Genomic DNA, 12,535 nt, shown 5'->3' with positions numbered 1-12,535 from the left:
AGTTGTGTGCTGAGGACTTAGCGAGAGGCCGTCACCTCGTGGTCGTGCATTCACTTTGTTTATTAAACGACATCTACTTGGCTCATTGACAACTGAGCTTCACTGGGACATTGGAACAGCCCGCCCAGCCCCCCAGGACGTCAGCCTTAAGCGTGAAGACTTCCTTACTCATTTTGCCCATCTTGCTTCTGAAGGCAAAATTACTGCATTTTTTCTTCTGGAAACCCAGCATTACCTGACTCCCTACCTCCACCCCCCGGAAGTCCCTGCTGTGGACACAGGTTTCAAACCCCAGAGAGGCACTTCCACACCGGCATGTTGTTTTAAGTAGAGATAGGGTTAGAGTAACCGCGGTCTTGACTGAAATCCTCTCTAGAACACAGTCGAATGGAAAACCTCCTCTTAACCCTAAGTGTCATTGCTTCGCCTGGCAGCTATATGTGACCTGGTTGGAGGGGAGAGGAGGGTCAAGAAAGGTTATTTCCCCTCTCCACACGCACCCTCCACCCCCGACTTTACATGTAGTAGCCAACTTGACCTTATCTGATCTTTCTGGAATCTTGTGTATAAGTGAGCCACAGTGCATCTCTCGCTATCTTCTAGCTATGTCTTGTTAAAAGCGCATCATTGGGTGGTTGGAAGGCGCCCAGAACCAGATCTCTAAGTGGCTACAGCCACTGGGGAAATGACTCCTCCTAGATTAGAGTCCATTAGCTGGATTCCAGTTTTGAAAGACCTACAAAATCTCCGTGCTTCTTTCTTTTTCTTTCTATCCAAAACTTTCACCTCCTCCAGCCAGGTGTTGCCCAGATATGTAAATAACACCAGAAAGCTGCTGTTGTCCTTCTACGACTATCTTACTGCCATCGGGCGGCAAGGAGGTGGCAGATGTCTGTATTTTTGAACAAACACTCTTAAAGTTGTTCTGAATATCAGCAGAATGGCACACACCCCTCTTCAAAGTATTTATTTTCTCAGTGGCAATTAGCGCCACAAACGAGAGGATGAGTGCCCCGTCACTGGTGTTCTCACTGATTTTTATGGTAGATGAAACAACTCCCTCCAAACGCACCTCTAGGAGCCGAATCTGGTCACCGGCGTACCAAAACCAAGCCGGGAGTCGAGTCTGTAGGGGGTGATTCGTGAGGACAACAATTGTTTTTGGGACAATTTGACTTTTTCTTGATGCTACCTGTTGTGTTTTCTCAGATGAGAGAAAGAGAAGGCGGTTCAAATTAGAGGGTCTCTAAAAGATAATTAGTCAGCAAGAGTCCTGGTGAGCGTTTGTTTAAACAGCTCCTATTAGGGAACCGCGAGCATCGTTAAGTTCATTCATGTAGACTGTATCCTTTCTGTAAGGAATAATCATGTTGGACTTTTGTTTCCTGAAACAAAACCCGACAAAGAGTTGGCTAATGTTTAAGATAAAGGACTGTTGGGAGCTATGTATCTCTATATCAATCATTCTATTTTGCCCTGAAATGTAAGCTTTTCCCCTAGTGTCCCCCTAGCTGCTCCCCATAGGAAAACTCCCCGGCCGAGTTTCCACGGTGAAAAAAATCAGCCCCAAACCCAAGCCATTTCGAAAAAGACGCACTTCTTTGGGATTAATTTAAAGACAGTTATTGTATTTATTTCCTCTGGCAATGAATTCCGTGTCGCCATGGTTTCAGAGAAACGAGAAAGAGAAAATAACTCCCCAAACCGGCCTCGCGCACGCCGTCGGCCAGCGACTGCCAGCGGGATGGGCCTTTGGGCGAACCCTGCCTCCTCCGCCGGTAGACCTAACCCGCAGGCCCGACCTCCGCTGCCTCCGGACGTTCCCGGTTCTGCTGGGCCGCCGCGCTGGACTGAGCGCTCAACCACCCGACCCCAGGGAGCTCGAGGAGCGCGGGTCGCGCACGACGTCGGGAAGGCCCAGGAGGCCGCGAGCAGCGGCGGCAACCGGACAGCGCCGACCCGGCACCCTGAGCTCATTAGGAGTCCAGCGGTCCCGCGGGTAGTAAGATTCAGAGCCCGGAGCCTGGGCGCGCGGAGGGCGGCTCGGGGCCGACTCGTGTCACTCAGCCCTATTGGCCAATGAGCGCCTCGCCCCTGGCCGCGCCAGGCCAATGGGAGGCGAGGGGGCTTGTGAGTGGCATTGAGGGAGGGCGGGAGAGAGGCGGCCCCGGAGTGAAGTTGAAGCTAAACCCTTAAGCTATAAAGAAGTTACGGGGGGCAGTTTTCGGCTTCCAATTAGGAATAATAGTGAACTGGCTTCGTAGCAACTACGGAGGACCAGGATTCTAAAATCACCTCACTCGTCCCAAAGCTTGCATCCTCCTCTTTCTGCCACGCACCCCTCCTCCAATTCATGATCCAGAAAAGGGAGCCGGGAATGCTCTGCTCCTCTCTGCCGGTGGGAAGCGGAGAGGCCGGCGGTGTCGCTGGGTTGGACGGTAGGCATGAGAACAGTTAAGAGATGGGCGCCCCCGAAACCTCTGCCGCTTGTGGGGACTGAAGGTAGGTGAAGCAGAAGACGCCCCGCGCCCGCCCAGCAGCCCCGCAGCTCCGCGGTGGTGTGGGAGAGGCCGCGGCGCCTCCCACCCCCGGGGGAGCCTGCGAGGGGCTGTCGCGAGCGCGCCACCTGTTAACCTGGCGCTGCTGGGCCCCGCTTGTTGCAGCCCCTGCTGGGCAGCCAGAGCGCTGGGTCGCCTTGGGAGTCCCGAGAGACTTGGTGTGTAAGTGTCACTTTTTGAGGAATCCCTCAGACTTGAGACCCAAGTTAAAGAGGTAGCCAAGGTCCAGATCTGCCAAGGTAGGGAGCTGAAAGGCCCCTGCCTCGCCTTGGAGGAATTCTGATTTGCGGAAACCTGCTTTCCTGGGACGTGCGCCCGGCCTGGGCGCGGACTCGGGGATCCGCGGCGGAAGATCCCTTGCGGGTCTTCAGAAATATGTATTTTGTTGTTTGGGCAACTTCCCAGGGGTCTGGAGGATGCGGCTGGCATGGGTGAGGGAATGCCAGCATTATTTGCAGGGGGCTGTCTCGCTGCCGATTTACCCGTTTCTTTAAAAACAAACCCAAAACGCCTGGCTAGGCGCACTGAGGCCCTTTCCGGCCGTGTTTTTGGAATTGGGACGAGTGTGTGAGTACTTGTGGAGCCGCTGATCTCTTATGCTCTGATGCTGTTGTCTTCACAGGGCCTTGAAAGAGTTGTCTGGGGTTCCTGCTCTTCCCAAAGGGGCTCGGAGATACCTTAAATGCCGCGAGACTGAAGAGCAAACGTCAGGGATTATTATGTCGATTTTCCGAGGACCAGGGTTCGCAGCTGGCAGTAGAAGAAAAGGCTGGCTCCTCAGGGGTCCCACTGGCATTTGATACCCTGAACGACCCTCAGGATTGCCCAAATTCGGTGGATCGCCCAAATTCGGTGGATCAGCAACTTTCCTATACTGCATCCCGAATTTTCAAAGAACATATTTTCCGTTCACCCCCGCTGGTCTTTTACTGCCATCAATACACTGTTCTTGGTGCAAATACTTCAGCCTCTTTATTCAAAGTATGTTTTATGTTTTTGCCAAATATGATCTCTAATTGAAAGTTTATTTTTGGTTTTGGATGAATCTGCGGAGCTTAAGTTGTGAGAAGAAAGGGGGAACAAGACACAATGAAAGAAAAGTCCAAAAATGCTGCGCGGACTAGGAGGGAGAAGGAAAACAGTGAATTTTATGAACTGGCTAAATTACTGCCTTTGCCCTCGGCTATCACCTCGCAGCTGGACAAAGCATCCATAATCAGACTCACGACCAGCTATCTCAAAATGAGAGTGGTGTTCCCAGAAGGTAAGTGACTTTGCCCAGATGGAATTTCAAAGGCAGAAGGGGCCGGGGATTTGCCAGGCAATGAGCCGACATCAGTGACCAGAGAAATGCATACATATTTACATATATATTTTGCAAAGGGAAGTTTAGCTCGGCTGCTTCACTAAGGTCCTCACTGAACTCAGAATTTCTGTCGCTTTTTTGAGGCTCCCTCTACCTCCCCATCAATACTTTCTCTTCAGTCCATCAGATATGTTTGGTTGGGAAGCAGCCCAACAGTCCTTTTGTCAACACTTCAGATACTAGGCTCAATTGAAAGTACTACTAATCCAAACATGACTTTCTTTTTTACTCCTCTTGTTAGAATTTTGTCCAGTAAAAACCAGGAGCACCGCCTAATTCTGTATTTTTTTTTTGCCAGGTGTGGATAGACCCATGTACCTGGAGCTAGATAGGCCAGATAATAATTTCTCTATATATCTAAAGATTTGCAAATGAGTAACATGCATATTTGTGAACAAGTATGCCTGAATTTACTCAAGTTCTTAAATAAATTCTAAGCAAATTTATTCCGAGTTTTCAAGACATTCGCAGATTCTGAAACTAACTCTGGAGCTTGATGATTTGCAACTGTGGGCTTGATGTTATCTGTAAGATAATAGGCTAGTCCTAAAATACATAAGATTGAATTAAGATGGCTAGCCCGCTTAGAAAATATCTTCTGGGTGGCAGGTTGGCAAATAGATCCTGAGAAAATTGTCTTATAAGGCCTAGAAGTTAGAATAGCTGAGCTGTTGACATGATTTAAAACTCATATTTAGATTATCAAGATTCACTGTGTGAGGACAGAGCAGCTTTCATAGAACACTGTCCTATATACAACCATTTATACTTACTAGAAAAGGACACTTTTCTATTTGTCCATCTTTTCCTTTACTTGGATTCAAATAATGCAAACAGATTTTTAAAAATATTTTAGATATGTCTTTGCTGGGGGAAGGGGATTCAGAAATGTAAAAGAGGGATTACTGAACAAGCAAACAAACAAAAATCCAAGGGAAAGAATTGTGTTTATTTACAAATGAGAACTTCTGATTTGACCCCTGGAGGTTTTTGTTGTTGTTGATTTTAGATGTTTGGGGTTTGTGGTTTTCCGTTAAATGAATGGATGAGCAGGAAACAGTCATTATTGGGTTTGCAGTTTCACTTTGCTTGATCATGACATAAAAGTTATTATCTAAGTCAAAAAGCCTGCAAAACATGCTCCAAATTAGTGGAGCATGAAAAACATGCTCCAAGCTAAAGGAAAACTTTCAAATTATAGTTCAGTTCTACCTTCAAACTACAAGTGATGCTTTAGTCGTTCCCTCCTAAAGCAGTTCCTTGAACAGTTCTTCTCTGACCCTGGAAACTGTGGGGAAAAAAGAAATGAAAGCCTAAAGTACCTGAAAATTAAAAAAAAAAAAAAAAAAAGAAAGAAAGAAAGAAAAAAAGAAGAAAAAGAAGGGGAACTTATATACTAAAAACCACATTTCCCGTTCAAACTGTGCTATGAATTGTTGATGGGATAATTACCATTATACCACACTGCCTTCTATTTAAAAAAGAGATCTCGTTGTCTTTTATACTGTCAGCGCCTACTTTATAAAAATAAAGCTATTGCGAACTCCGCTGGCCGCACTGTTCCTAACAGGATTATTAGCAGTGATTTGTCAGCCCCTGCGGTCTCAGTGGGCTCCCTTTCTGCGTGATTTCCAGCCGGTCTCGTCAATTATTGGTGCCGATGTCGCTCGCTGTTTGATCAGAAGCAGCATATGGTGTTGCTTGTGGGGCTGCGAGTAATCGCGGGAGGAGAAGAATAGCAGGGCGGCGTTCTGGGGCGGGCACCGAGCCGGCCGGGAGAGCCCGGGGAGTCGGCCGGCCAGGGAAGCTAGTCGGCTTGGTGTAGACCCGGGGGCAGGCGCAGCTGGGAGGAAATCGGGCTGTTTTCTGCTGTTGTTTTGTTTTTGTTTTTAAAAGAGCAAGCCTTTTTGCATAATTAAGTGCTAACTCTACACATTATAAGTCTCGTTATAAATAAATAGGAACAAAATAAACTCTTACAGCCAACCTCTCGTTATTTTTAAAGAGAGCGCCAATGAAGGCTCCCGCTGGAGTCCTCTTGGTGGCCAGAACGGTCCCCTCTGGCTACTTTAACAGTGACTGTGCTTTCTGCAGCCCCCTCACCTTCCCCCGAGCCCCGGACCCCTCCTTTCTCTCCCTTCTGTGGGTGAGTGTGAGTTTATGGGGAGGAGGGGATGGACGATGTGTGAACTCTGGGCACATCATTTGTTTCTCTAGCTACTGTTGAGCTCATAACTCACCCTCAGCCTCCACCCAGTGAGCTAGACAGGGTCATCAGAACAGCTGGCTCCTAGGGATGAGTTTTTAATTTTTGACGGTGGACAAGCTTCAAAAACCCAAAATCAAACACAGCTCTTTAAAATATTAAAGAACAACAACAACAACAACAACAGCTTTCAAAGGAATAAAATAGTCACAATCGCAAGACCAGGCACAACCTATAGGGGGTGCCAAATTTAAGTTCAGTGTTGACTGAAGGCAGAGAGCAAACAAGATTGGGGTCCAAGGCAGTTGGGGAAACTGATCACTTTATATGGATGTAATCTTTTCTAGTGGCGTTAAATGGAATTTGTTGGAAGATGAAATTCATCTTTACATTTATCATGAAGCCACCCTAGTACATAGTAGGTCCTCAATACAGCTTTAAGGATGAAATAAAGATAGGTATAAGTGTCTTATCACAGGTAATATATGGATTTTATAAGGTATATAATCTAAATAATTATTAATCTGGTGACATAGCTATAGGTATAAAAATGCTGTAAAACTTCAGTTTTGTTCATACACTATTTCATCTCTAACACACTGTAATGCCAAAAGGCTATAAGTTAAATGAACAAACAAAATCATTTCATAATTATATTTGAAAGAAGAAATATCCTTAAATACACCTTAAATACAGGCAATTTCCTTCCCTTCTCATTTGCCGAATACACTTTTTTTTTTCTCCCAAGTCTAGTAGCTTCCTTGTCTGGGGGCAAGTTTCAGCTTTTATTTGCCTGACTAGATGAAATTAAACTGTTTAGGTGAAAATGGGGGAGTGGGAGAACAGAGAAATGGAATATGGGTACCTGGAATAATTAAGAATAAAGCATTAGATTGGAGATTTCAGAGAAAAAAGAAAATTAGGAAAGATAACTGAGAAATCACTAACACTTCATATCTGCCAATTAGTGACATATTCTATTCCAAAGTAGCCTTGCAAAGAAAAAATTGAGGCACATGGAAATGTATAAATCTTTGGTATTATCAAAGCCAGAGGGGCAGGATCTAAAAAATAGCATGACTTTATTTGTGTGCAAAATAGGACAAATTCAACTAGAAAGACATACATATTTGTTATCCAGCTCTAAAGCAATTTTGGCTGGGGGTGTGGAGGCTTTCATAATCAACTTTGAAAGGATCAGATATATTTTCTGATCTATAGCTATTCAGAATCTTGGTAACATCACATTGCCATTTCATTGACAAGATGTCTTGGAAAAATAAAAATAATCACAGAGTTGAAATTAGTAACTACTCAGGAAAGATCATCTCTACAAGGGTGATTAAACAAACTTCCACAGATGGTTTCTATAATATTCACCTCAAGATTGAAATTCTTAATGGTGTTATATTTTTTTGAGGCAGAGAACTGAAAAAGAAAAAGAGGCCCCATGTCCCACGTGGGTCGGTGATTTAAGGCTGTTTTTCTTGCTTCTTGGGGAAATGATTGAGCATTAGGTTTCCATGTTTATTTTCTTACAGAAGTTTTTCTCATTTAAAGGCCTTTAAGCACAGTTTACCCTCCATGCTAGTTTTCTGTGTTTAATTCCAGTTTTGATGTTGACTTAAAATGTGGAGTGCAGAACTAAACTCCGTGCAGAGCATTTGCAAGGCGGATTTATATGCTAGAAATTGTAGATCAGATCAATAAAAAAAATACTTTTTTCTTTAATGGGAGGGATCACTAATAAAAACAACAAACAACAACAAAAACAGGTATTATAAGCTATGGTGGGATGCTTTCAAGCAGGGTGCAATCACCCGTCTAATGATAAAACGGGGCTGAATTTCTAAAGAACAAATCTAATTTCTAGGGGAGTTGTTGTCCAGTTCTAAGAAATCTTGGGAGCTTCCAGCTTTTACAGACCCAAATGTGGACACAGAATGAGAGCCCATAGATTCTCACCGCACTTCTCCGTCCCGCCAGGTATTTCTCAGGAAAATGAGGCTTGTACCTTGCTAACACCTAATGATTTTAATGGGCCACCCATTGCCAGTGTCTGATCCGTGAAATTTTAAAATTTTGTGTGGAGGAGGGGGAACCTCAATTATTTAGGAATGGTCCTGCTACTCTTAAAGTGCTAAAACAGTGTCCACTGCAGAGTAAACTTCCTTCCGCTGGTAGCCCCACCGAATAGGCGGTTCCTGCGCCTTGTCACTCGGCCTCGGCGGCGCAGGGCCGACAGGGGACAATCATGTCGAGGTCCCCGTCGCGCCTCCCGCACCGCCCGAAGCACGCAGTCAGCCAGGTCTGCGCGGTGTGTCCCATCCTCTGTCCGCGGTGGCCCCAGCCAAGGGCCTAGCTCGTGGCCTCAGCACAGAGTCTCCTTACTCCCCAGGCCGGCCCAGGAGCCGCCCCCTGCCCTCATCAGAGGTCCCGCAGGTGCAGGTGTGTGCCAGCAGCCCCTCCTGCCCTCCCGGCCACTGTCCCTGAAGGGCAAGCAGTCGTCTAAACCTTAGGTCCAGATCCAGTCTGTTTGGGCAGTTCCCGGGAAGGCGGGTTAGGTGCCATCGTCCGAGTCCCTGCGCCAAGTAGAACCTAAGTGGGATTCGCCCGCGCGTTCGGGCTCGGCCTCGCCAGCGCGGGCCTCTAGGGAGGTGGCATAGCCAAAGCTGGGCCGCATTCGAAGACCCGGAGTCCCAGGGCGACATCGATTGACGTTTTTCGGCCGTCACGCAGGACTGTCTCATGAACGCTGCATGAATTTCGCCCCCAGTTTTAGTCTGGCCGAACCCCGCCCTCCTTGGGTTTCTGCCGTCTTTTCGCGGCTGGCTCCAACTCGGGCAGCCAGGTTGGCCCGCAGGCTCTATCCCTACGGGAAGCCCAAACTCGAGGGCTGGAGCTCCGCGAAGGCAGAGAGAGAGAGAGAGAGAGAGAGAGAGAGAGAGAGAGAGAGAGAGAGAGAGAGAGAGAGAGAGAAAGAGAGAGACAGACAGCGGTGTGACCTTCGGCCTCCACCCCACATTTACAGTAACATTAGTGGATTCCCTGGGTGCGGCCGCGGTGTCTCTGGCCCGGGATCAGCAGGCAGGAGAGATCAGGGCACTGCCGAGTGCAGGCACACACTGTGGGGTCCAGGCTGCTGCGTGGAACAAGACCTGGCCCGGCGCGCTCGCCGATGCCCTCAGGTCAACCACACAGGCTCCTTAGCCGGAGAGGGCCGCAGGCAGGGCGGGCAGCAGTGCCAGAGGTGGGGTCGGGTGCGCCTTGGTGCGTGAAGGGACCTCCTACCAGTGACTGCTCTAGGAGCTTGATTCGGGCTGGTTGCACCAATTTCCCTCTCTTTTTTTCTCTAAAGAGCTCGGCTGCGGAGGCGCCCGGAGGCTGAACACGAAGGCCACTCGACGCCTCAGCCCGGGGAAGACTTGCACAGTACACATTTAGCGAGGATGTGCAGGCCCGGCAGGATACATGGGATTTGGGGTTTTCAGGATTACCCCCTGGGCCAGACTCTCCTACACTCTCTCAAGGGATACACAGTTGGTTGAGACAAGCTGTTCAGGAACCGCAGTGGCCTCGGCCTAGGAGGGCTTTCCCCTCCTCAGTCACCAAGTCGTAGTCAGGTCATGGAACAGGGCCTCCGCCACCCTCCCCCATTGCCTACAAGGCACCTCAATTAGTTGGGGAGGTGAAGGTTCCCGGGAAGGACTGCAAGGAGGATACATTTCTATTGAGATGTAGCGTTTATTTATTAAAATAAAGAAAAATTTTAAAAGAACAGAACACACGCTTATCTTCCTCCTCTTCCTGTCAGAGTGAGGGCGGTGATGATGTCGGGTCTGTAATATATATTTTGTCAAGGGTATTAAATTCATTCCGAAGGAAAAGCTCTATCAATTTATTTTTGCTGCCTGCAATAACACAGCTGGATGATGCTTTGAGCTCACACTAGACTGGGGCTCATCATTCATTCGCCAAGAACGGGCCTAAATGGTGCCTGTGGGATTAGGTCAATTTTAGTGGATCTACTTCGCCTCATTTGGTTACTAATTGGTTTCTTGTTTTATAAATCGAAATCTCATTTTCAGGAAATTACAAAACCCGTGCAGTCAGTCCATTGAGGTAATCCTTGGGTCAGGGGGTATTTAAATGGAAATGGCTCAACTAAGCACGGAGGGTAAAGCCACAGTGAAACTTGCCTGAGTTTCACAGGAAATGTGAGCTAGCCCTTTAGATCCATAATAGATACATCCCTTCTAATGCTACTTATGTAAATATGATAAAGCAGACTTTAAGGGAAGAGGGGGGCCTGGGAGAAGCAAAATTTATCAGCTAAGGTTAATGTGGCATTTCTTGGAAATCTTCCAAAATAGATTCTGTTTTCCTTTGTCTTCGGCCACTTTAGCTGAGGAAAATCCTTTTGTCTAAAACCCGATTTAGTTATCGCCTCCCTCACAGAGCTCCTTTTCTCTTTTGCAAAACCCCGTTCCCTCGGCCTCGCCGAATTGCAAGAGAATCTTTAGATCTTGTTCCCACTGTAATCCCGCCGCAAAGGGAGCTGGTTTCCTCCTCATTTTAAACAGACAATCAAAGGATTTGCGAATTTTCTGCGGTAGGTCAAGTGCAGAAACGAAATCTCAGCTTACCCCCTCGCCAACTGAAATTGGGTGTGCTAGAGCGCGTCACCGAAGGCAGGAGGCGAGGGGCTCCAGGGAGAAGGTCTCTACCCCACTTCGAGACTTTAGGGAGGGGGGACCCCTTACTAGGACTTGGGGAGGTTCCTTCGATATTAGATCGGGAAAGCCCGGCAGGTAGACGAGAGTAGCCAGTCCCTTATAAAACATTAACCCAGACACAATCGTAAGATTTCTACGGGGAACAGAAAGAGAAGGCAAACCTCCGGGAAGGCAAAAGCTTCCTTAAAAGGTGGCGGGGGTGGGGCAGGAGAGGGCGAGAGAGGCTCCTGTTAACCTGTGCCGGACAGGTTGTTTATTAACCTGTGGGGAAGTCTCATTTTCCCTCGTAGGCGCATACTAATGAGGCCGAAACCCGAAACAACAAATGGCCTAGGCTGGCGCCGGGAGTTCAGAACTAGTATTTATCCCGAGCCCAGCCTGGGGGATTTTCAGATCATTCTGGTTGGGAGGCCGCTTCGGGGTGTCTTCCAGCCGCTTTGGGAGGCCTTCAAAATGCTCAGCGCAGTCTTCGCACCCTTCGGGAACCGCGCGAGACCTGTCCCCAGTCGCAACGCAGTCTTTGCCCGCTCCAGGCTCGCTCGAGTGCCCCGGCCCTTCGTCCCCGCCAATCTTTGGGGTTTAAGGCCTCCGTAGGCCCCAGAGCGCCCAAGGGCCAGCGTCGCCGGCGTCCTCGGCTTTCCCAATAGGGTCCTTTCTCCTTTCCCCCGTGTGGCCTCCGCAGCCAATCCCTCCTGTCACTCCTTCTGAGTGGGTATGTCGGAGCCGGGATTTAGAAAGAGAAGAGCAGGTCGTGACAGAAACGAAGGAGAATAGGTTGGCTGAAAGGGGAAGAGCGATAAATGTGATAAGGCCAAGGGGTGTGTACAGGTGGCTGTGGCGGGGGCCCTTCCAGAACGGTCCAGGAGGACCCCAGGGACCAGGGCAGTGGAGTCACTCCGGGGAGGAAACCTCGGGCGGGCTAAAGAGTCGGGATGAGTTGACCGGGAGCCAGAGAGGTAGAGGAGTCCCGAGTGCGGGCGGGGAGCATCAGTGTTTGCAGAGTGGTGGGGAAATCGTTAGATTTATTTAGATGTGCAAACAACCAGAAAGACCGGATTTGAGCTTAAGGGGCGCTCACGGTTCCTCCTTACCAAGGCTTTGATTGCTTGCTTAGGAAGCAGCTCCTAGCCAACACCTTTTAAAAAATCCAACTCCATGTTTTATTTTGAAAGATCTGCCCCCAACCTCATATTACAAGGCGAGTGTTCATCATTGTGTACTTCTTGGTGATTTGCTCCTTAACGCAGTAAATCACCTTTCTGAGGGGTGGGATGGGGGAGGTCATGTTAAACTTTGTTTAATGGTGTAAGGATAAAAGGATTTAACTACCTAGTTAAAATAATTTTAGCAGCAGCACTATTAAAAAGATAATACTCATAAATAGCTTAACACAGGTCTTCGAAAGTTTTTTTGCCTTCTTTGTTTTTTCTTTCCGCAAAAGGGTACTCTAGCCGACTCCATATTAAATTTTTAAAACTCGGCCACAAGAGTCCGGAGCGTTTTATTTTTTTGGGCATCACCAGAGAAAGTTTGCGGCAAAGCCTCCAAAGATCTTAACGGGGAAACACCAAGGAGAGAAAGAGAGGGTCTTTGTTAATAGAATACAGTACCTGGAAAGTAGAAAAGTTGAATGAGTCTCAATTAGAGATGAGAACGAAAATATTACAAA

The 12,535-nt window shown here is 47.8% G+C and overlaps 1 protein-coding gene across 2 annotated transcripts in view, besides 3 other annotated features; it reads left to right on the top strand.

Annotated features, from left to right (window-relative positions):
• The window catches only part of SIM1 (SIM bHLH transcription factor 1), a 79,913-nt gene continuing 69,572 nt past the window's right edge, over positions 2,195-12,535 (top strand). Inside the window, exons 1-2 of one of the 2 annotated variants that reach the window (NM_005068.3) lie at positions 2,195-2,502; positions 3,181-3,822. In NM_005068.3, coding sequence (NP_005059.2) covers positions 3,648-3,822 — 175 coding nt within the window. In that variant the 5' untranslated portion in view covers positions 2,195-2,502; positions 3,181-3,647. Of the gene's footprint in view, positions 2,503-2,659; positions 2,721-3,180; positions 3,823-12,535 lie in introns of those variants that run through there. The other variant, NM_001374769.1, reaches the window with a different exon arrangement.
• Positions 8,956-9,937: an enhancer, noted in NCBI's record as "H3K27ac-H3K4me1 hESC enhancer chr6:100905055-100906036 (GRCh37/hg19 assembly coordinates)". NCBI's record gives its function as "activates a minimal SCP1, AML or CMV promoter by ChIP-STARR-seq in naive H9 embryonic stem cells {active_cell/tissue: H9 hESC(naive)}" and the evidence as "EXISTENCE:reporter gene assay evidence [ECO:0000049][PMID:30033119]".
• Positions 9,925-10,864: an enhancer, noted in NCBI's record as "VISTA enhancer hs2319". NCBI's record gives its function as "enhancer in: neural tube[4/7] | midbrain (mesencephalon)[4/7] | forebrain[4/7] | eye[3/7]" and the evidence as "EXISTENCE:transgenic organism evidence [ECO:0001131][PMID:17130149]".
• Positions 11,472-12,033: an enhancer, noted in NCBI's record as "H3K4me1 hESC enhancer chr6:100902959-100903520 (GRCh37/hg19 assembly coordinates)". NCBI's record gives its function as "activates a minimal SCP1, AML or CMV promoter by ChIP-STARR-seq in naive H9 embryonic stem cells {active_cell/tissue: H9 hESC(naive)}" and the evidence as "EXISTENCE:reporter gene assay evidence [ECO:0000049][PMID:30033119]".

Source organism: Homo sapiens, chromosome 6, assembly GCF_000001405.40.
Source record: "Homo sapiens chromosome 6, GRCh38.p14 Primary Assembly".
NCBI classification, from domain to species: Eukaryota; Metazoa; Chordata; class Mammalia; order Primates; family Hominidae; genus Homo; species Homo sapiens.
The sequence above is the reverse complement of the archived record's forward strand: the minus strand, read 5'-3'. Positions and strand labels throughout refer to the sequence as shown.